Below are 23378 nucleotides of genomic sequence, written 5' to 3' on the forward strand. Positions count from 1 at the left end.
AGAAAAACTAATCTAGCTGCTTCCACTGCTGAATGACACTTGGCCTTGATATGACACCATCATTTGAAAAGACCAATCAGTTCTTTGGTGGCAACATGATTATATCAGACCCATTCTTGTTTGGACATTGCAGCAATTCATTCTTAACAGGGATTACTACTTGGTCCAGGTATGGATTTGCCTTTCTTGACTATGGTGACTCTTATCAGAACCACTATCTAAGGACCTATAAAATGCATGATTTACTATTATGGGCTTTCTGACCAAGGGACCAATTTTACAGTAAAGGAATTTAAAAAATGAGTAGAGTATATGACAATGGAAAACACTAGTCCTATCATATGCCACACAATCCAGAAACTATTAGAATGTTAAATTGGCCTGTTAAGGAGTAACCTAAGGTTCTAGCTTAAGTATGACATGCAGCTAGGTTGGAGCATTTTCCTCCAGGATGTGATATATACATTGAACCAAGGGCCATTATATGGTGCTCTGTCTAAATAACTTAAATAGTGTTATGACATATGGGTCCAAGAACCAAGGGATGGAAATTAGGTTGGCCCCTCTCACCACTACTCTCAGTGATCCCTTGGGAATTTGTGCTTCTTGTTCCTACAAGTTGAGACTCAGCAGAACTGAGTCCATGTAGCCACTGGATGCATGTATCCTCCCTGTATCCAGTGAGGGAATGGTTCCCCTGGAGGTCACAATAAGGATTCCACTGAACCTAGAACTATGATTGCTACCTGGTCATGTTTGGCTCCTCATGCTGGTAGATAAATATCTGGTTTCTCTGTCCACTAGTAGGAAAATTCTGAAGTACATTCTGTATGGTTCCTCAGAGCATTCCTAGCAAACTGAGGCCTGGATACCCACAGTAATAACCCATTCTTAACACAAAAGTTTTTTGGCTTTTCTCCCTTCCCTGTGTCACTTTCTCTAATTTCTAATTTCTCTAATTTCTAATTCTCTAATTTCTAATTCTCTAATTTCTAATTTGTGCTTTCTGGGATCATCTCCGAAATAAACTATCTGTACCAATGTCTTATGGTTTCCTTTGAAAGGAATCACTAAGATTGTTCCTTTTCTCTTTGTGTTGATTTTAAATGTATTCACAAATTCTTTGACAATCTTCCTTTTAAGAGATAGAGCTTAATTCCCCTCTCCATAAGTATAGGCTGGACTTGATGCATTTCTAATTAATAGAATAGGGCAGAAGTGATGGTGTGTGGCCTCTCAGACTAGTTCTTAAAAGGCATTGCGGCTTCCTCCTTGCTCTCTCTCTCTCTCTCTCTCAGGTTGCTTGCTCAGCCATGTTATGAGGCCACTCAAGCTATCCTATGGGGAGGTCTAAGTATCAAGGAATTGAGGCCTCCTGCCAACAACTGTTCAAGTGTACCATCTTGGAGGCAGATTCTCCAACCCAGTCAAGCTTTCAGATGACTGCAGCCCTGGCCAAAATCTTTACTGCAACCTCCTGCGAGACTTCAAGCCAGAGCCACCCAACTAAACCACTCCCAGTTTCCTAACCCTCAGAAACTGAATGAGATAATAACTGTTGCTTTAAGCTGCTATGTCTTGGGGTAATTTATTATGCAGTGATAGAAAACTAATTCACTGCTCTAACCTGGAAGAAAGGGAATGGGAATCCAAAGAGTTGTATTGCATGCAGAGTAGTGAAGGCAAATCGTAGGCCCCAAAAAAACTGAGATTAGGGGAATGATCTAGGAAGGAAAATGAAAAAAGGAAAGGGCAACATTGATGAAAGCAAGTAAAGAGAAAAATGTAAACAAGGAAAGATAACATTATAAAAGAAAGAAATAACTATGACATAAAATAGGCAGTAACTAAGTGTGAGAGAAACCGAGAATTGCAAAGACAAACTAGAATGAGTAAGCAGACAGAGAATCAAGAGGAAGAAAGAAAAAAGGTTCAGTGAAGAAAAAAATGGAGTAATGAGAGGATAAACGTGGGAGAGGGGATTTAAAGAAGCAAGGCACACTAGGATATGGGATAAAGGGACCGAGAGCTCTGCCTTCCATGAATGCACTAAATGCCTCAAGTAAACATGCAAAATAATCAGTCTGAAGCTTCTTGCACCTAAATGTAGTCTCTTTACTTAAGTGTGACTGTTAGAATACTACAGTTTCTCAGAATACTAGGAATAATTTCTATATTTGCCATGATCATTGTATTCAGTCCAGTGTTCTATTTCTGCTCAATCTTCCTTACTTAACTGAGCTAGATTCTGTGCCCAGAATATATACACAAGTTATTCCAGTCAGAATACACTATCTCTTGGCTATAACTGATGGATGGAAGGCTCAAAGGGCTATAACTCAGAATAGAAATAAAGTACTTTATAGTCCATAAGTAGAATCAGGCGTTAATCTAGTTACATTTGGTTCTTGATAAACATTTTCATAGTAAGTATCATCTGGTATTCCCATTTGCATCTTTGATATGTCTCCTCCATAGTTATATATGTTTTTCTGTGCTTGATTAAACCTGAATCCTAAAGAGAAGTGACAAATGATTAGAAAGATACCAGATATAATAAGATGCTCACTCAAAATGCTACTGTGTTGTGGTCTGTTCCACATTCCTTTTCACCATTCTTAAAGCAAATATCTTCACCTGAAACCAGAAACACCCCAAATTTCTGAGTTCATCCCACTTTCACTCCCACATATCACTGTCCATCCCTACAAAAGGCTCTGCAGGACCTGGGTTTTAGGTCTGATCTACTAATAACTAGCTGTGTAATTTGGGACAAATTATTTAACCTAAGTCTTAGTGCTCTCATCTGTAAAATGGGGATAATAACCGCACCTACCTCATCATATTCCTGCAAGAGTTAAATGTGACAGTGCATGTAAAGAACTTAGAGCATCTGGTATTTAGTTGGTGCTCTGTAACTATTAGCTAACTTCTTCATTCACAAAGGGAGAAATGCCCTTTTCCTCTCAAGAGCTCATGTTTCTCAATCTGCTCTGGATTTACCTTCTCTTGCTTCTTGAAGAAGTGACACACATTATCCTCTTCTCCAATGCCAACATCTTCAATGTATCACCTTCACTGGCTTCAGTTATGCAAATCTCCACTACTTAAAATAATTTTCACTTGCTTTTATGCTCCTTCCAACTACCATCCTATATCTTTCTTCTTTTCACAGTAATCTCTTTTAACTCAGTAACTTATATTGTTTCCTTTTTTTTTTTTTTTTTTGAGACAGGGTCTTACTCTGTTGCCCAGGCTAGAGTGCAGTGGCGCAATCGCACAGCCTCCACCTCCTGGGCTCAAACAACTCTCCCGCCTCAGCTTCCCAAGTAGCAAGGACTACAGGTGTATGCCACCATGCCCTGCTGACATTTTATTTTTTGTAGAGTGAGAGTCTCTTTATGTTGCCCAGGATAGTCTTGAACTCTTTGCCTCAAGTGATCCTCCAAACTTAGCCTCCCAAAGTGCTGGGATTACAGGCATGAGCCATTGTGCTGGGTCTCTGTGCTGATTTAAATTTGTAAAAGATGACTATCTATTGAGCAGAGAAGGGAATGGAGAAGCATTGGTTTGGAGGCTATTGCAGAAGCCTGTAGAGGGGTGAAGGCAACTTGGGCTGAGTGGGTGGCAGTGAGCTGGAAATAGGTGGATTGGTTAATGCTAAGGATGGCTCATATTAATGGAGTATGCATTATGAGATAGGCACTATTCTAAGCTCTGTGCATGATTATCTCATTATCTCACAACCTATGTGCTAGGTACTACCGTTATTCTTCTTTTACTAGTGAAGAAACCGAGCTAGTAACTTGCCCAAGATCATATAGCCAGTAAAGAGTGGAGCCAAAAATCAAACCCAGGCACTCTGAATCAAGAGTCCACAATCCTTTGGGAAGCCAAGATGGGCAGATCACGAGTCCAGCCTGGGCAACATGGCGAAATCCCATCTTGACAAAAATACAAAAATTAGCTGGGCATGGTGGTGTGTGCCTATGGTCCCAGCTACCCAGGAGGCTGAAGTGGGAGAATTGCTTGAGCCTGGGAGGCAGAGGCTGCAGGGAACTGAGGTCCAGGCCACTGCACTCCAGCCTGGGCAACAGAGTGAGACCCTGTCTCAAAACAAAAACAAAAACAAACAAACAAACAAACAACTCCACAATCCTAACCTCTTTGCTTTACTGCTTCTCCTATCTGCTAGTAGGACAGAACTCATACACCATCATTAGGCTTTGGCTATGTTAAAATTATTGGCGTTTCTGGGGTCTGATGACACTCTTCTTCAACATGCTGGCTTTTACTTTTAGCATTTCAGTACTGCTAACTACTGGCAGAACAATAGTGGCCTAGAACCTAAAAACTATTTTCAACATTTTGAGGCATTTATTTTGCCAAGTGAAGTCTGCTCATGAAAAATTGTTACTAAAACTATAAGTAACTTTTTTTCTTCACTCTGTCACCCAGGCTGGAGTTTAGTGGTGCAATCTTGGCTCACTGCAACCTCCGCCTCCCTGTTCAAACGATTCTCTTGCCACAGCCTCCGAGTATCTGAGATTACAGACATCTGCCACCATGCACAGCTAATTTTTGTATTTTTAGTAGAGTCAGGGTTTCACCATGTTGGCCAGGCTGGTCTCGAACTCCTGACCTCAGGTGATCCATCTGCCTCAGCCTCCCAAAGTGCTGGGATTACAGGTGTGTGCCACTGTGCCTGACCAGTAACTTTTAAAAAAGGATTCATATTTTGGCTAGGCGTGGTGGCTCTCGCCTGTAATCCCAGCACTTTGGGAGGCCGAGGTAGTTGGATCACAAGGTCAGCAGATCAAGACCATCCCGGCTAACACAGTGAAACCCTGTCTCTACTAAAAATACAAAAAATTAGCGGGGTGTGGTGGCGGGTGCCTGTAGTTCCAGCTACTTGGGAGGCTCAGGCAGGAGAATGGTGTGAACCTGGGAGGCGGAGCTTGCAGTGAGCCAACATCGCACCACTGCACTCCAGCCTGGGCGACAGAGCAAGACTCCGTCTCAAAAAAAAAAAAAGATTCATATTTTTAAAATCACTTTATTCAAACTTAAATAATATAGGACATTTCCTTCTATTCCCAAATAACAATCTTACATACAAAGGTAAAAATGACTTGACAAATGCATCTAAATTTATATACTATGCAGATTACTGAAATGTTAAATGCCTAGAAATACGTGTGTGGAATGTATTTTTTGTTCATGAGAATTTCCTATAAAGTACTGCTAAAAATCACCTACCTTTGAAGTTAGCCGAAGAGTTGCTTGTAGCAATTTCCTTCCAGCTGGCAATGTACCTAAGCACATTATATGAGGATTCATTAAATTTAATCGATTCATTAGTACATACTTAGACTACTTCTAAAATTCCACTTTTCAGAAATCTTAGATTAATGATGGCATGTTCACTAGCCTCCATGTGTAACTCTCAAGACTTTCTCACCTTCTAGTAGCTCACATCCAGCTAAGAACCTTCAGGACAAGGAGTTGAAGGAGGTATAAAAATGGTGCCCACCATCTGCCATACTTAGTGTCCTTTCACCTCCCTCTAGCATGCCCCCTCATTTTATCCTGTTAATTCCAGAAAGATCATGTCCTCAGCTGAGTGTTTACTAAGAAGTTAGTTAATAACATCCAAATTTAAAGCATGGGCAGAAAACTCTCCTGGAGACAACAACAAAAACTTTCTCCTTTGTTCTGGATTACCAGATTCACTGTCTCTGATACGTGAAGGGAAATTTAAAGCATCTAGTTTCTGAGCTCATTAGAGCAGCAGCGCTGTCTTTGCAGTGTCCAGAACACGTTAAGAGATACATTTAGGTATGGCAAATGCAGCTGTCACCTCAGCTCCTGAACAGAGACTGAAATAGAGAGACGAGGGTTGCCTGAGAAGAGGTAGAATAGGGAAGGACAAGGTACAACCTTCTGTGAGGATGATGGAAAAGCACCAAGAGGCAGGTTTCCTAAGATTTATTTCACCTTAGGCTCCATATCCCACTTTCCTAAGGTGCCTTTACAACTGCACCCACTTTAATCAAAAAATCAGGTCAGGATTTGGTTACAGTAGGTGCTAAAAGGGAGCTAGCACAGAGAGGTGGAGAATTAGAACTGTCACGTAATTGGCTGGGCGCAGTGGCTCACACCTGTAATACCAGCACTCTGGAAGGCCGAGGTGGGCGGATCACAAGGTCAGGAGATCGAGACGACCCTGGCTAACACGGTGAAACCCCATCTCTACTAAAAATACAAAAAATTAGCCAGGTGTGGTGATGCATGCCTGTAGTTTCAGCTACTCGGGAGGCTGAGGCAGGAGAACGGCCTAAAACCTGGGAGGTGGAGCTTGCAGTGAACTGAGATGGTGCCACTGAACTCCAGCTTGGGTGACAGAGCGAGATCTCAAAAAAGAAAAAAAAAAAGAATTATCATGTAATTCAGAAAACACTGTGATTTTCTTTTCTTTTCTTTCTTTCTTTTTTTTTTTTTTTTTTTTTTTGAGACAAAATCTCGCTCTTGTGCCCTAGGCTGGAGTGTGATGGCACGATCTCGGCTCACTGCAACCTTGGCCTCCTGGGTTCAAGAGATTCTCCTGCCTCAGCCTCCCAAGTAGCTGGGATTACAGGTGCCTGCCACCACGCCCGGCTAATTTTTGTACTTTTAGTACAGACAGGGTTTCACCATGTTGGCCAGGCTGGTCTCGAACTCCTGACCTCAGGTGATCCACCCACCTCGGCCTCCCAAAGTGACACTGTGATTTTCTAATTATTTGTTCCATTTGAATTATTTTTACTTCTGTCAACCCTGTGCTCCTGAAGTTTTTTGCAGTAGGAGGGTATATACTTCCAACAGTATTTAATACTTATTTTTATGGAGACAAGGTCTCGCTCTGTCTCCCAGGCTGCAGTGCACTGGTGCCATCATGGGTCACTGCAGCCTCAAACTAATGGGCTCAAGTGATCCTCCTGCCTCAGCCTCCTGAATAGATGGGACCACAGATGCATGTCACCACACCTGGCTAACTTTTTAATTTTTTGTAGAGATGGGGTCTCGGTATTTTGCCCAGGCTGGTCTTGAACTCTTGGGCTCAAGTGATCCACCTACCTTGGCCTCCCAAAGTGCTGGGATTATAGGCGTGAGCCACTGCACTTGGCCTATCCAACAGTATTTAATTACAATCAGACGTTGTGTCTGAATTTGGCTCCTTCTTACTACTGCTACCCCTTGGTGCTCTGCGAACTTTCTTCAATGGCCTTCAATAGGATACTGCTGGGTGACTTAAATGAAAGGATGCAGGACAAGAGCAGGTGGTGTAACTCCTTCCACAATCTCTCAGTAGGCAATTCAGTTTGGTTTGACCTTAAATTTTAGCAGACTTTGTGCTTTCAGTGGTTGCTCAGGAGCACTATAAAGAGTCATCCTGCTTGCTTGGATTTATACACAGAAAAGACTTTCATTCCACCTTCAAGAAACCAAGATAAAAGACCTTGATCGATAGTGTGCTGAGCCCTGACAATCTGGGGCACAAACACTTACCATAGCTAGGCCCCATCACTGTCCCTGCTTTATCCAAGATTAGCACATGACTTTTATTCCATTATTTTAAAAAGAACTTCTCATAAAGAACATACCAGCAGTAATTGATAAGAAATCTAAGTTTTACAGACATAGAAGCAAGTCTGATGAAAGCACTACCATGCTGTTTATATCACAGAGCTCATCTTTCTCACGAAGAAATTTGTAGAAATTTTTAGATAATAGTTATCAAGTGTGTGTGCAGTCTACAATGAATCCATTTGTTAAATTACAAATTTAACACTTTAAGAGCTCAGAAAAAGTCCCTAGCCAGAGAGGTCACAAAACTACATATCTTAGAAATCAAAGGAGCAGCTTCAGATATAGAAACTATCCATAACAGACATAGGCACAGAGCTCTCCCCAACAGAGTATCAGGAAATTATTTAATATTTTCTAGCTGGTGATTGCTTAATAGGTATGTCAAAATTCACTTGCTGTTTGAAAAACGTGATGATCCTGGAAGAGGAACATCTGAATATCCATTAGGATGAATGCCAGCAAAAGCCACGGTAGCTGTCCTGTGGCATTGTGCATAACTCCGTGATGGTGATGTGGGGATTGTTCTGGGTTCTAAACAGCTGCAGCAACATAGCTCTGGATACAGGAATTTGCAACAGTACTCATTAGTGTGTTTGAGTCCACTAGTGAAACTGGCTCTATCCATTCTTCCAAATGATAATAACAATGTTCGGTTAATAGTTGCAGTACGCATCTGAAGATGGACATGGTTTCATCTCAGGAGAGCATCGGTCTGTCATAACGGACTAGAACAAAAGCCTTTGGGGAGAAACTGGTTGTTATCACTAAATATCAGTGTTCAAGGCATTTATGCCATTCTAACTGTCCAACTGTAGAAAAATGTCCATAGACGTTGAAGGATACTTTCCAAGGAATTAGGGGTGACCAATTCTCTAGAGGGGACAAATGTCAGACTTTTAAATTTTCATCAAACAAGGTGTCACCAAGCCAGTTACAAATATCTAGAGGTCTACAAAGGTCAAACGGGGAAGTAGACTGTGGAGACCATAAATGTGCTGGAAAGAAGGGGCTTATGCCTAATGTCTGCAGTTAGCTAGGGGAAGGCCTTTGCAAAGTTTGGTCTTACTGAGATAATCAGTGCTTGTGGCCAAGTAGTGCTACTGAAATATACCCAGATAATCACACTTGAAATTTCATCTGAAATTTTTGTTGTTCAAGGCTCAATGTAAAACCTTGCTAAGAGTCCATGTTGGTACAAAATTATGAGTATCCTCAACTCAGAAGATAAACTGATAGAAATTATACATAACTTGGAAGCAAGGTATTTGCATTTTTTTAATGGAAATTTTCAGTTGCTCTTATCATCTGAAAGCTAGGTATATCCATCCCACTCCTATATGCTATGAAGAAATTGCTTCAAGTCTTACTGGTTTATCCTGGGTTTTTTTGTTTTGCTCTGTTTTGTTTTGAGACAGAGTCTCGCTCTGTCACCCAGGCTTGAGTGCAGTGGCGCGATCTCAGCTCACTGCAAGCTCTGCCTCCCAATGGCATGAATCGTGGGTTCATGCCATTCTCCTGCCTCGGCCTCCCAAGTAGCTAGGACTACAGGCACCCACCACCACGCCCGGCTAATTTTTTATATTTTTAGTAGAGATGGGGTTTCACTGTGTTAAGCAAGATGGTCTCGATCTCCTGACCTCAAGATCCGCCCTCCTCAGCCTCCCAAAGCGCTGGGATTACAGGCATGAGCCACCTCGCCTGGCTGGTTTTTTTTTTATTTATTTTATTTTTTATTTATTTATATTTATTTTTGAGACGGAGTCTCGCTCTGTTGCCCAGGCTGGAGTGCAGTGGCGCGATGTCAGCTCACTGCAACCTCCACCTCCTGGGTTCACGCCATTCTCCTGTCTCAGCCTCCCTAGTAGCTGGGACTACAGGTGCCTGCCAATTTTTGGTGGGTTAATTTTTGTATTTTTAGTGGAGACGGGGTTTCACCGTGTTAGCCAGGATAGTCTCGATCTCCCGACCTCATGATCCACCTGCCTCAGCCTCCCAAAGTGCTGGGATTACAGGCGTAAGCCACCACACCCAGCCTGTTTTTTGTTTTTTAAAGGGAAGCCATTAAGACTTCACCTACTATCACTTAGCGGATGATGGCGGGGAAAGTCTTATGTGGACCGAGATGCCTATTTTTTCTTCCCTTTGAACTCAATGGTTTTATTCTTTTTATATTCCAGTAATGACAGAATATAGAATATCTGGTATCAATTTTTTGTACTTGTTTGCCGGCCCTTAGCTTGAATCGGCCAATGGTACAAGGGAAAGGCAGAGCAGGATTTCAAAAGCTCACCTGAGAAAATTCTCTATCCAGTCCTGGGAAACTCATTCAAAATGGACCTCTCCTACCTCTCTTTCCCTTTCTTCCCTCTCTTTTCCACTCAGCAATTTTTACTCTTAGGAAGAAAAGTAAAAGCAAGGCATTGCAGCTCCTTTGTTTGGCTGTCATTTCTTGCATCATTATTACCATCTGCATTTGTTCAGTGTCCCAGGAACTACAGACATGCTGTCTATAGGGAATCTCAAGACTGAGGTCTGCACAAAATATTGGGGTTATTGAATCATAGCAATTTCTTCTTATTTAAAAATATTTTAAAGCATCTACTATGGACACTTAGTCCTTTATTTTTTATCTTTTCCTTATTATTTTCTGATCTATCCTTCTCATCAGTATCTTCTTTTTTCTTTTATTCTTGTTTTGATTTTCCTTTGTCTTGATCATTCTTCCCCCTTTTTCTTCATTTATCTTTCCTTGCATCATTATTCTCTCCCCTGCTTCCTCTGGCTTCTTTTTTTCATGTTCTATTGTTCAATGACCATTAACTTGATTTTTCCTACCCCATTTTCTTATCTCACTTTTACTGATTTCTTCTGTTTTCTTACATTTCTTTACTTACACTATCTTCATTTAAATTTTTCTGCCTCTTCATGCAGTATCCACATTCTTTATTGTAGTTGAGTAAATATTGAACATTTTAAGCAGCTTTATTGAGGTATATAATTCATATGCCATACAATTCCCCCATTTAAAGTATAGTATCCAGTGGCTTTTAGTATAATATTAGCAGAGTTGTGGCTCCACCACCATAATGAATTTTCTTTTCTTTTTTTTGAGACGGAGTTTCACTCGTTGCCCAGGCTGGAGTGCAATGGCACGATCTCAGCTCACTGCAACCTCCACTTCCCAGATTCAAGTGATTCTCCTGCCTCAGCCTCCTGATAGCTGGGATTACAGGTGCCCGCCACCAGGCCTGACTAATTTTTGTATTTTTAGTAGAGACAGGGTTTCACCATGTTGATCAGGCTGGTCTTGAACTCGGGACCTCAAACAGTCCACCCGCCTTGACCTCCCAAAGAGCTGGGATTACAGGCGTGAGCCACCACGCCTGGCCCACAATGAATTTTCAATTATTTTCATTGCCTCAGAAAGAGACCCTGCACCCCATAGCCACCACCACCCCCTCCCCCCAGTTAATTCTCCACCCCCAGGAAACCACTAATCTATTTTCTGTCTCTATAGGTTTGCCTATTCTGGGTATTTCCTATAAATAAAATAACACATGATCCTTTGTGATTGGCTTCTTTCACTTAGCAGATTCATCAATGTTATGGCATAGATCAGAACTTAATTTCTTTCTTTTTTTTTAAATAGAGGCGCTGTCTCACTATGTTTCCCAGGCTGGTCTCAAATTCCTAGGCTCAAGCAATCCTCCCATCTCTGCCTCCAAAAATGCTGGGATTACAGGCGTGAGCCACTACACTTGGCTTTTTGTGTGTGTGTGTGTGTGTCTCGCTCTGTCACCCAGACTGGAGTACAGTGGTGTGATCATGGCTCACTACAGCATCTACGTCCTGGCTCAAGAGAACCTCTTACCTCAGCCTCCTGAGTAGCTGGGACTACAGTTATGCACCAGCAGGCCTGGGATAATTATTGATTTTTTGTAGAGATGGGGTCTCGCTATGTTGCCCAGACTAGTCTCAAAATCCTGGGCTCAAGTAATCTGCTTGGTCTCCCAAAGTGCTGGGATTACAGGCATGAGCCACCATGCCCAGCCCACTAATTTTTATTGTGGAATAATATTCTATTGGATAGATCTATCATATTTCATTTAGCCATTCGTCAGCTCATGGACATTTGGGGTGTCTTCTGCTTTTTTGCTATTATGATAATGCTGCTATGAACATTTATGCACAGGTTTTTGTGTAGACATGTATTTCCCCTTCTCTTGGGTATATATCTAGGAGTGGAGCTGCTGGATCACATGTCAGCTCTATGTTTAACCACTTGAGGAACTGCCAGATTGTTTTCCAAAGTGGCTGCACCATTGCACATTCCCACTAGCAGTGTATGAGTTCCAATTTCTCCACATTCTTGCAAACACTTGTTATTATCTGTCTTTTTAATTATAGCTATCCTAGTAGGTGTGAAGTGGTATCTCATTATGGTTTTGATTGCATTTCCTTAATGGGGCTACATTAAATATTCTAAAATTTCCCCCACACAAGAAATCTTAAAAATGTTTTCTAAGGGCCATAGTACATCACTGAAAACTTATAACATTTTAGTGTCTCATACAGAAAGGTTAGGGAATATAGATGAAAGAAAACCTTTGTATTATTAATTTCATGCTCTTAGCCTTTTTTCTAAATCCCAAAGTAAGAAGCAAAGCAGACTAAAGCATAAGAATAAAGTCTAAGAATAAAGAGTCCTAAGTCTAATTTTCTGTTTACTATTTTTGGATCATTCATTTTCTTACCCCTCATGTCTTCTTCTGTTCTTTCTAGACAAATAATAGATACTCGGGTTTTTTTTTTCTTTGAAGATTGTTTGTGGCCCCAAGATTCAACAAGGAAATAGGAAATGTTAGAAAAAAACTATGATGACTGCCCTTGTTCCCCAAGAATAGCAACATGTACTTACTCATCAAAGTTCAGTGTATTTGTCCAGTTCAGCACTTCATCCACTTCCCATTCCATCACAGAATCTATCCCCCCATCTTCAAAAGCTCTAATCAGCCCCTTTGTTGCAGTGTGAATTAGTCCTAGAGTTTCATGATGTGTTGACTTAGCCTCCAGACTTCCTGAGTAGTACCTAAATAGGCAAAAGGGAAAGAGAAGTAAATCTTTTGAAATAGGAGATTACAAGTAGATACAGGCAATATATATTGTTGCTATTTACATATTAAAACTATTTGCATATTGAATAAAGTTTTCATTCCTATATAACTCAGATGCATCTAAACCAAGATCTATGTGATGGAATCTTCTGGGGGGAAAAGCAACTTAACCACACTAACTTAAAATCACCCCTCAATAAGTTGCATTTTTATGATACGAAGAAAAACTAAGTTATTAAATTGTTGAATCTTAGAATTATAGAGTGGAAAGGGTCTTAGAAACCAAATAACTAACCTACTCATTTTTATAGGTGAGGAAATAAATCTTTGAGGAGTTAAGTAAATTTTACAAAATCAAGAGGCTAATAGCAGATAAAGAGGGAAGGAAAGTGAAAAAAGGAAAGAGAGGAAGAGGTAAAGGGAAAACAGATACCTTTTCTTTGTGCCAGGTACTTTTCATACAGTCTTATTTAATTCTTTTTAAAAAGACACAGCCAGGCCCAGCGCGGTGGCTCACGCCTATAATCACAGAACTTGGGAGGCCAACATGGGTGGATCACGAAGTCAGGAGTTCGAGACCAGCCTGGCCAACATGGTGAAACCCTGTCTCTACTAAAAATACAAAAATTAGCTGGGCATGGTGGCGGGCCCCTGTAATCCCAGCTACTTGGGAAGCTGAGGCAGGAGAATCGCTAGAACCTGGGAGGTGGAGGTTGCAGCGAGCCGAGATCATGAAACTGCACTCCAGCCTGGGCGACAGAGCAAGACTCCATCTCAAAAAAAAAAAAAAAAAAAAGACACAGCCATTTGTGGCAGCTATTTTTATTCCCCTTTTAGAGATAAAGAAACTGAGACCTGGAGAAGTTAAAATATCATTCAAAGCTGGGCACAGTGGCTCAAGCCTGTAATCCCAACACTTTTGGAGACTGAGTCAGGAAGATCATTTGAGGCCAGGAGTTTGAGGCCAGCCTGGGCAACAGAGAGATCCTCATCTCAATTAATAATTTTAAAAATTTTTAAAGAAATTGTTCAAGATCATGTAGCAGTAAATACTTATGAGAGCCAGTATTCAGACCCTTAGTTTTAAATTCAGCCTCCTTCTGCAGCACTGCCTGTCTTAATCTGAGCACATAAAATAATACATTCACTGATAATGAGCTGAGTAACTAGAGAGAAGTTAGTAGTCCTTACCAAGATCATCAAAACTTTTTTTGGTATTTATTTTAAGATCTACATTGGTAGCCATTTTAAAGGGTCACCTATTATGAAGTTGTATTCATTTATTAATTCAACACTCATTGATTAGGAAACAGCATAGTGGTGATATGGAGCAAGACTCTGGTATCGAATTATCTGGATGTGAATCTTGGTTCTGTGTTACATAATCTGCTAAATAACCTAGCCTTTCTGGGCCTCACTGACCTCTTCCTTAAAATGGTAATCAGGGCCAGGTGTGGTAGCTCATGCCTATAATCCCAGCACTTTGGGAGGGTAAGGCAGGAGGATCACTTGAAGCCAGAAGTTTAAGAACATACTGGACAACACAGTGAGACCCCATCTCTACAAACAATAAAAAACATAGCCAAGCACAGTGGCACACGCCTGTAGTCCCAGCTACTGGGGAGGCGGAGGTGGGAGAATTGTTTGAGCCCAGAAGTTCAAGGCTGCGGTCAGCTATGATAGCACTACTGCACTCCAGCCTGGGTAACAGAGTGAGACCTTAACTCTTAAAAAAAAAAAAAAATCATAACACTACTTCCTCCTAGCATTCTTGAGAGGTTTAGAAGCATAAATCCATGTGGGATGGGCATGGATGGTGGCTCATGCCTGCAATCCCAGCACTTTGGGAGACTGAGGTGGGAGACTCCCTTGAATCCAGGAGTTCAAGACCAGCCTGGGTAAAATAGGGACAACCTGTCTCTACAATTTTTTTTTTTTTTTGAGATGGAGTTGCTCTGTCTCCCAGGCTGGAGTGCAGTGATGTGATCTCGGCTCACTGCAACCTCCACCTCCCGGGTTCAAGCAATTCTCCTGCCCCAGCCTCCCAAGTAGCTGGGACTACAGCCCACCACGCCCAGCTAATTTTTGTATTTTTAGTAGAGATGAGGTTTCACCATATTGGCCAGGCTGGTCTCAAACTCCTGACCTCGTGATCTGCCCGCCTCAGCCTCCCAAAGTGTTGTGATTACAGGCGTGAGCCACTGCGCCCAGCCCAAATTTTTTTTTTTTTTTTTTGAGATGGAATCTCACTCTATTGCCCAGGCTGGAGTGCAGTGGCGCCATCTCGGCTCACTGCAAGCTCCGCCTCCCGGGTTCACGCCAGTCTCCTGTCTCAGCCTCCCGAGTAGCTGGGACTACAGGCGCCTGCCACCACGCCTGGCTAATTTTTTGTATTTTTTAGTAGAGACGGGATTTCACCGTGTGAGCCCGGATGGTCTCGATCTCCTGACCTCGTGATCTGCCTGCCTCGGCCTCACAAAGTGCTGGGATTACAGGTGTGAGCCACCGCGCCCAGCCAAAATTTTTTAAAATAATAATAATAAAAAAAGAAGTGTAAATCTATGTAAAGCATTTAGAACAATGACTGGTACACAGTAAGCATTCATAGGCTGACACTGTTATCGGGTGGCAGGGCTATAACAGTGAGAAGATACATCCTTGCCCTCATGAAATTTTGACTTCATCAGATTTTAAACGGATAATGATCCATGAGAGCAAATGCTCCGTTACCCAGGCTGGAGTGCAGTGGCACGATCTTGGCTCACTGTAACCTCTGCCTCCTGGGTTCAAGCAGTTCTCCTGCCTCAGCCTTTCAACTAGCTGGGATCACAGGAGCACACCACCAGGCTTAGCTAATTTTTGTATTTTTAGTAGAGATGGGGTTTCACCATGTTGGCCAGGCTGGTCTCAAACTCCTGACCTCAAGTGATCTGCCCGCCTCCACCTCCCAAAGTGCTGGGATTACAGGTATGAGCCAGTGTGCCTGACCTCTTATTTTTCTTTTTTCAACAGTGATATATGATAATTCAGATATCTTTTTTCTCTTATTAAGGAAGTATAAAATGCACTTTGTTTTCAAGAGAGTCATAGTAATTGTTCAAATAATTTAATTCTCAGGTTTTGAACTCTTTTAAAATGTTACTATTGGCCGGTTGCGGTGGCTTATGCCTGTAATCCCAACACTTTGGGAGGCCAAGGCGGGCGGATCACGAGGTCAGGAGATTGAGACCATCCTGGCTAACACAGTGAAATTCTGTCTCTACTAAAAATACAAAAAAAAATTAGCTGGGCGTGGTGGCAGGTGCTTGTAGTCCCAGCTACTAGGGAGGCTGAGGCGGGAGAATGGCATGAACCTGGGAGACGGAGCTTGCAGTGAGCTGAGATGGCGCCACTGCACTCCAGCCTGGGCAACAGAGCAAGACTCCGTCTTAAAATAAATAAATAAATAAATAAATAAATAAATAAATAAATAAAATAAAATAGTTACTATTATAATTAAATGGTATAAATATTGATAAAATAACAGGTTTGCAAGTAGAAAGTGTTTCAAATATAGTGATCAGAAATAAAAGATCACTTTATAAACATAATTTGTTTTATAAACAAACTAATGATCTTTTAAAAAGACCTAAAATTGGCTAGGGTGGTGGCTCACGCCTGTAATCCCAGAACTTTGAGAGGCAAAGGTGGGCAGGTCATGTGAGGTCAGGAGTTTGAGGCTGGCCTGGCCAACATGGTGAAACCCAGGCCCTACTAAAAATACAAAAATTAGCTGGGCATGGTGGCATGTAGCTATAGTCCCAGGCACTCAGGAGGCTAAGGCAGGAGAATGCTTGAACCCAGAGGCAGAGGTTGCAGTGAGCTGACATGGTGCCAATGTACTCCAGCCTGGGCAGCAGAGCAAGACTCTTTCTCAAAAAAAAAAAAAAAAAGACATAAAATTTGTCTTCGTAGGTAATTTTGCAATATATTTTTAGTTGTATTCACCTTAACATGATCTTATATTCTTTCTAAACTAGGAAATTTAGAGGGAAAGAATATTATAAGAAATGTTTGTCTAAATGTCACAACAGAGAGAGAAGTTAAAACAACAAAGACCTAGGAAGAATCAAAGCTTAAGTTGCAAAGGAGGTTGAGGAAAGCTAAGATCTATAGGACACAGGAAGGGACTAGATTTAAAAGCCAGAATTCTTTTAGTAAGATAGGGGTAAAAAATAAAAATTTTGTTGATTTTGTTCATTACTGATTCTCAGCAACAGTCAGAATGAAGAGTGTTTAAATGCCATAAATGAACAAAGCACACAAAGTAAAATTTCTCATTCACCCCCTGCAACTCTATGAAAAGGAAATGTAACACCCAGTCATAAGAAAGCATTCATTCATTTATTTATTCTATAAGCAACATATATTCATTAAACATGAACTAAGTCTGAGATCCTGTGCTAATAAATAGAACAGAGTCTCTGCTCTGTAGGGACTCAAAGTTTAGTGGAGGTGGCAGACAAATACACAGTTAATTGCAAAAATGTGACCACTGAGTATATAAAAGATCCATGGGGCACATCAAAAGGAAGTACCTAATTGTGTCTAGGTATGTAAGGGAAGGTTTCAGAAGGAGCTATTTGGGCCAAGTATCAAAAGATGAAGATGTTGTTGCCATGCAGCTGAGCACCCTAGGGAGAGGAAATATCATGGGAGGTGTAGGTAACGGGGAGCCCTTAACATATTTTAAGTAAAGAAATTATTTCTGTCTTAGAAACATCAGTTTAGTGTTTATACAGAGAAGACGAAGGGACTAGAGACCAGGAAACTAATTAGAAGGTAGATGAAAAATGATGAGACATCACAGTGGAGAATGAAAGAAAAGATCAGATTTGGGAGATATTTTGGAAGTGGAATTAATAGGACTTGATGACAGATTACATGTAGGCACTAAAAGAGTGATAAATCTAGGATAAGCCCTCTGTTTCTGGCTTGGATGACTGGCTAAATGCAGTGTCATAAGCTGAGACCAGAAGAAATACTGAGAAGAAACAACTTTTGTGATGCGGAAGATTAGAAATTCAGTTTTGGAACTGTTGAGTTTGATATAGAAATGCCCACATAATTAGAAATACAGAGCTCAGTTATGGATGACGATTGTGTTGAGGGTAAATAAACACAGGAAAGAAGAAGTAAAACGCATATTATTCTTCATGTGCATTGGCTTATCACCAGATGCTGTTTCCCAGCTAGTAATGTGACGGTGCTTCAGCAAGTCATGCCACCATTCTGTCAAAGCCAGCTGTTTCTAGGTGATGGCACATATGGTAGGTGAATTTTGTTGTTCTCAGCCTGTAACCACACTTCCTTTGCTGTTAATAGGTCCCCTATTAGAGGCAATGTTGTATGAAATAAAATGATGACGATGGATAACGCATTCTGTTATGAGAGGTGTTGTTGCCAGAAGTAATGCAGGCAGAGAAATAAAATTAATATCCAGAATATTTGTCTATCACTGTGAGGACAAATGGATGCCTCCTCTATTATGGGAATGGTCTATTTTAATCAGCCTGTCACCAACTAGCCAGCATATCTCATTACTGGGGGCAAAGCAATGGCCTTTGCTATACAGTCAGCTGTGACTGTAGCCAGAACAACTTTGGTGAGGGGGAAGACCAAGTTGTTGAGTCTATATAGGGCCTCCATCCCTGTAATCCTGGCCACTTTGGACAAGACTCCACGGTGCAACCACTGAGGTGCCGGGGGAAAAAATGACATTCACAGGATGGATCATCTTGTCCATCTGATTACCAAGAGCTGTCTGCCTCATATAAGCCCTTTGGAGGGCATTCACATAGGACAAAAATATATTTTGTATCCATTATGAGTATACCTCTACCCTGACCTATACTCACCAATTTTCCAATTTTATTCTTTGCAAATGTTGATCAGCTGGGAAACTATAAATGTTGGTCAGCACAGTCAATGAGATCCCTACCTCAGGCTTTTTCCCCTTCAAATGAAGTGGAAAACCAAACATACCACAAGTTGTGCCCACTGGAAGGATATCTTTTGATCATTTTCTAGGCCAACCGAGGAATTGAAATCATTAACTGTCCATTTTTAGATGATGCAGCATCCTGTATAGATCCAACTTATTCCTCCAACATATTCCCCCCTGTTAACTTGTCATGGGGACTTCCTATGAAGCCAAAGGTATGGAGATGATGTGGAGGCAATGCAGCGTAAGTAGTGGTTGCAGGAGTATGAGCCACCTGCTCATGCAGCTTACTTGGGCCTTCTGGACCTTCTCAGACTCATTCCCATACAGACCACATTTATTTTACACTAAAACAGTGCTACGTACTCTCAATTTTATGGTTTAATTGATTAGATAAATCCCAGGTCAGTCCATGATCATAGCACTTGGTATCTTATTGTCAAGCAACCAGTCTCTACCAGGACCAATTGCAAATCTGGAACAGATTTTCAAATGGAATATAGCTTCTGGCAGAAGAAGGAATTCACTGCCTTCTTCCTAAACCCTAGAGGTCTGTGCTGTGATTCTCCCATTAGGTCTCTTTAGAGACTCTACAGTTTTTCACTACCATGGACATTTCTAATGCTGTTGGGACTGCTGGGCCATAAAGCCCAAGTTGTAAGGCAGCTTGACCACATTGTGGATCTGCTACACACCTCTTTCTTGCTCCATGTCCCATTGAAGCCAGCTTGTTTGTTAGATCACCTAGTAAAGGGGTTGGAACAGCATGCCCAAAATATGTCATACATTAGCTCTCAAATCGAGAGAGGGCCTCTAAGTGTTGTGCTTCTTCAGGATGGATGGTACAAGGTACAGTAACTTGTCTCTCATTTTTGAAAGGATATCTCAAATGTCTTTAAGCTTCAATTATATGCCAGATCCTTAACTTTTTGCAAAGTTTATCTGCCTCCTTTTAGTGTGCATTTATCCTACTAAGCCACCAAGGAGCTGTTATTTTCTGCTCACCACATCCAATCAAGGTAAGGTCATCAATGTAATGGACAGGCATAATGTTCTATGGAAACAGATGTACAAGCCCCTGGGGACAAGAGCAGGAAAGGTGATGTATCTTCGGGAACAACATGTAAAAACACACGGTTCTTTCTGTGAAAATACAGACTGCTTCTCCTGTTGCTTAGTGATTGGGATGGGAAAGAACACATTTGCCAGGTCAGTTGCAGCATACCAGGTGCCAGGGGCTGTGTTGATTTGCTCTGTTGAAGAAGCCACATCTGGAAGCCTCGCTGCAATTGTGCCATCAGCTGACCTCTACCACTTCAAAGTTCCATTAGTCCCAGTGAACTAAAGGAACCAGTTCCATCACAGCTTTCCCCACTGTCATCTCCAGCCTTGTAAAGGACAGCCACCACAGAGTTCATCAAGAAATATGCTGCTCCTGGGCCAGACGTGGTGGCTCATGCCTGTAATCCCAGCACTTTGGGAGGCCGAGGCAGGCAGATCACAAGGTCAGGAGTTCAAGACCAGCCTGGCCAATATGTTGAAACCCTGCCTCTACTAAAAATACAAAAAAAAATTAGCCAGGCATGGTGGCACATGCCTGTTATCCCAGCTACTCGGCAGGCTGAGATAGGAGAATTGCTTGAACCTGGGAGGCAGAGGTTGCAGTGAGCCGAGATTGCGCCACTGCACTCCAGCCTGGGTGACAGAGTGAGACTCCGTCTCAAAGAAAAAAAAAAAGAGAAAGAAATATGCTGCTCCCCTCGCTCCCCTCACCAAGCTATTACTTCATAGCTTGATGAAAAAGGTATCTCCTGGAACTTCCTGGGGTGATGGCTAGACGGTGGTTTAGTAGATTGCACATAACAGAAACAAACACACAATTCCCTGAACTTTTAGAAATCCTTTTTCTAATGGAACAGAAATTAAAAAAAGAAAAAAAAAAGAATGTGTAAACAAAAACTCAGCTGTACGTAAGAAAACCCAACTCCCCCTAAGAAGGAGAAAGAGCTGGAGTCCTTTAAAAATTAACTGCCTGTTTTTCTGTGGCTAGTGAGCCTTATCTCTCCTTCTTTCCCAGGCATTGTGAAGACCCTGTTTCTCTAGCTGTGCAGCTGCAAGGTCACTAGACAGATAAACTCAAGTCATAAAACATGTTTTCCTTGAAAAGTAAGAAACGATGTAATGCACTTCTCAATTAATTGAATAACTATCTTTGTTTCTTGCTTCTGTAATATGCTTCCCCCTGCACAGATCTCCCCCAACCCCATGAAATGCTTAAAAGGTAACTTAACTCTTTGTTCAGGGCTCAGTCCTTTGGATGTTAATCCGACTGGGCCAGTACACCTAAAATAACAAATATCCTCCTCTACCCCATCGGTCTCTCTGATTCCTTATCAATCCTGCTACACTACAGTATACCAGAGAAGTTCCAGCATTTTGCAAAGGTAGAACTTTGGTTGGCTCTACCTAAATCAGGCTTTGATTAGCTAACTTAACAGACCATTAACATAATTTCTGGCCAAAGCATTAAATCCACAATCCCAGGTGAGTATGGCCATATCAGTAAGTTCGGCCCAGCCAACTCTCGATCTAACAACCTTAGAATCCACCCTCACACAATGCTTCTGAGATTCCTGGCAATGTAGATTAGTAATTTCTTGTAACTGTTCTGGTTTATAAACTATCTCCTCTTGGAGTGGACCTTGTACCTCTGTCTGGGCTGTCCTGAAATACAAATCTCATTGTGAGCTAAAGGCAATGAGAAATAGTAGAGGGGGAATCCTGAGGAGAATCAGCTTAAGTGTGTGTGGCAACTGTGCCAGTGCAGTCACTGAAAGGCTTTTATGCAGAAAAGGGCCGCTTCCCTCAAAAGGGAGAGTAAGGGTTCCCTACACCAACAAGGCACTTTGGAAGTTCAAGATTCTTAGCCTTGTGTATGTTTGCCCAAATGTCCTAATCCCAGGCCTCAGAGTTCTACTTCTTCCCCACTAGTGCCCTTATCTTAGTGCAAAAGACCTGGCAGAGTTAAGCATTTGGTAGTACTGTAGGCATTGTAACCCTGTGACCCTTGCAATGGAACCCAGGGTTGCCCTCAACCCATGCTGTGACTATGAGATAAAGGACCACTTCAGAGCTGCCAGGGAGGTCTTCTGATTTTCTGCACAGGTTTTTAATTTTTTTTTTTTTTACTATTTTATTGAGGTATGGTTGATGTACAATAAACTACACATATTTAAATTGTACAATGTACAGTTTTGACATGTCTATATACCTGTAAATCCATCACTACAATAAAAAATAAATCTATCCATCACCCTCTGACGTTTCCTTGTACTCCTTTGGAATCCCTCTCTTTTTCCTCTTTCCTATCTCCAGACAACTACTGATCTGATTTGTGTCACTTCAGATTTGTGTCTTCTAGAATTGTATGTGAATGGAATCATACAGTATGTATTCTTTTTTGATAGATTTATTTCATTCGGCATTATTTTGAGGTTCGTCCATGTCATTCTGTCTATCAGTAGTTCATTCTGTTGTACTGCTGCGTAGTATTCCTTTGTGTAGATATCCTACCACTTGCTTATCCATTCACCTGCTGATGCAAATTTGTGCTGTTTCTGGTTTTTCGCAATTAAAATGACAAATAAACCAGCTATGAACATTCACATACAATCTTTCTGTGGACATGTTTTTATTTCTCTTGGGTAAGCATGTAGGGGTGGAATGACTAGGTAGAATATTTGGTGTGTTTACTTGTTTAAAAAAAAACTTGTCAAACCGTTTTCTGAAGTACACATTCTAATTTGCATTTGCTCCATATCCTTGCCAACAATTGGCATGACAGACTATTTCAGTCATTCTAGTGGGTGTGTAGGGGTATCTCATTATCATTTTAGTTAGCACTTCTCTAATGATTAATCATAGTCACTGGTTGAGTTATGCTAATTTGCTAGGTATGTATCTTCACTGATGGAGTGTTTATTCAAATTTTTTGCCCACTTTAAAATGTGATTGTTTGAGAGGTTTTTTTTTTGTTTTTTTTTTTTTTACATATTCTTGATTCAAGAACTTTGTCAGATATATATTTTGCAAATGTTTTATCCCGGTCTATGGCTTTTAATTTTGATAAAGTAAAATTTAAAATTGTTTCTTTTATAGTTCCTGACTTCTATGTCCTCTTTAAAAAATCTTGGCCAGAACAAAAGGCACTAAGATTTTCTCCTTCAATTACTTTTAGATGCTTTATGGTTTTTGCTCTTATATTTAGATCTATAATCTCTTTTCAGTTAATTTTACACATGCTGTAAGAGAACACTCAAGTTTCATTTTTCTGCATTTGAAAATCCAATTTGTTGAAAAGACTATTTTTTCCCAATTAAGTTCCCTTGGCACCTCTGTTGAAAATTAATTAACAATATACATGGGGGTTTATTTATTTATTTTTTTGAGACGGAGTCTCGCTCTGTCGCCCAGGCTGGATAGTGCGAGGATAGCAGTGGCTGGGGGGAAAGGCTGACTGATTCCAAGGAATGAGTCATCTTGCTCACCTGATTATTAAGATTCTTCTCTGTTGAGATTGTTCTTTGGTGAGCATTCACATACGACACAAGCATCTTCTCACTTGGTGCCCATCTGGAGAAGTCTGCACATAC

At 41.2% G+C, this 23378-nt stretch overlaps 1 protein-coding gene across 28 annotated transcripts in view, besides 4 other annotated features; it reads right to left on the reverse strand.

Moving 5' to 3' along the window:
* The window catches only part of C11orf65 (chromosome 11 open reading frame 65), a 161363-nt gene that overhangs the window by 72142 nt on the left and 65843 nt on the right, over nucleotides 1-23378 (reverse strand). For 12 of the 28 annotated variants that reach the window (XM_047426461.1, XM_047426467.1, XM_047426463.1 and 9 more), the window contains one exon: nucleotides 12548-12718. In XM_047426461.1, coding sequence (XP_047282417.1) covers nucleotides 12548-12718 — 171 coding nt within the window. The other 16 variants (NM_001330368.2, XM_047426473.1, NM_001351110.2 and 13 more) reach the window with 5 other exon arrangements.
* Nucleotides 7389-7589: a silencer, noted in NCBI's record as "peak1452 fragment used in MPRA reporter construct". NCBI's record gives its function as "represses an SCP1 promoter by STARR-seq MPRAs in K562 erythroleukemia cells {active_cell/tissue: K562}" and the evidence as "EXISTENCE:reporter gene assay evidence [ECO:0000049][PMID:32103011]".
* Nucleotides 12579-12779: a silencer, noted in NCBI's record as "peak1453 fragment used in MPRA reporter construct". NCBI's record gives its function as "represses an SCP1 promoter by STARR-seq MPRAs in K562 erythroleukemia cells {active_cell/tissue: K562}" and the evidence as "EXISTENCE:reporter gene assay evidence [ECO:0000049][PMID:32103011]".
* Nucleotides 21917-22061: an enhancer, noted in NCBI's record as "145 bp 11:108273376 sequence used in MPRA reporter constructs". NCBI's record gives its function as "activates a minimal TATA-containing promoter with rs113090416 allelic activity by MPRAs in C283T melanocytes {active_cell/tissue: C283T}" and the evidence as "EXISTENCE:reporter gene assay evidence [ECO:0000049][PMID:36423637]".
* Nucleotides 21989-21992: a transcriptional cis regulatory region, noted in NCBI's record as "rs140255479 (now merged into rs113090416) or 11:108273376 MPRA-significant variant associated with a GWAS melanoma risk locus at 11q22.3". NCBI's record gives its function as "allelic transcriptional activity by MPRAs in C283T melanocytes {active_cell/tissue: C283T}" and the evidence as "EXISTENCE:reporter gene assay evidence [ECO:0000049][PMID:36423637]".

Source organism: Homo sapiens, chromosome 11, assembly GCF_000001405.40.
Source record: "Homo sapiens chromosome 11, GRCh38.p14 Primary Assembly".
NCBI classification, from domain to species: domain Eukaryota; kingdom Metazoa; phylum Chordata; class Mammalia; order Primates; family Hominidae; genus Homo; species Homo sapiens.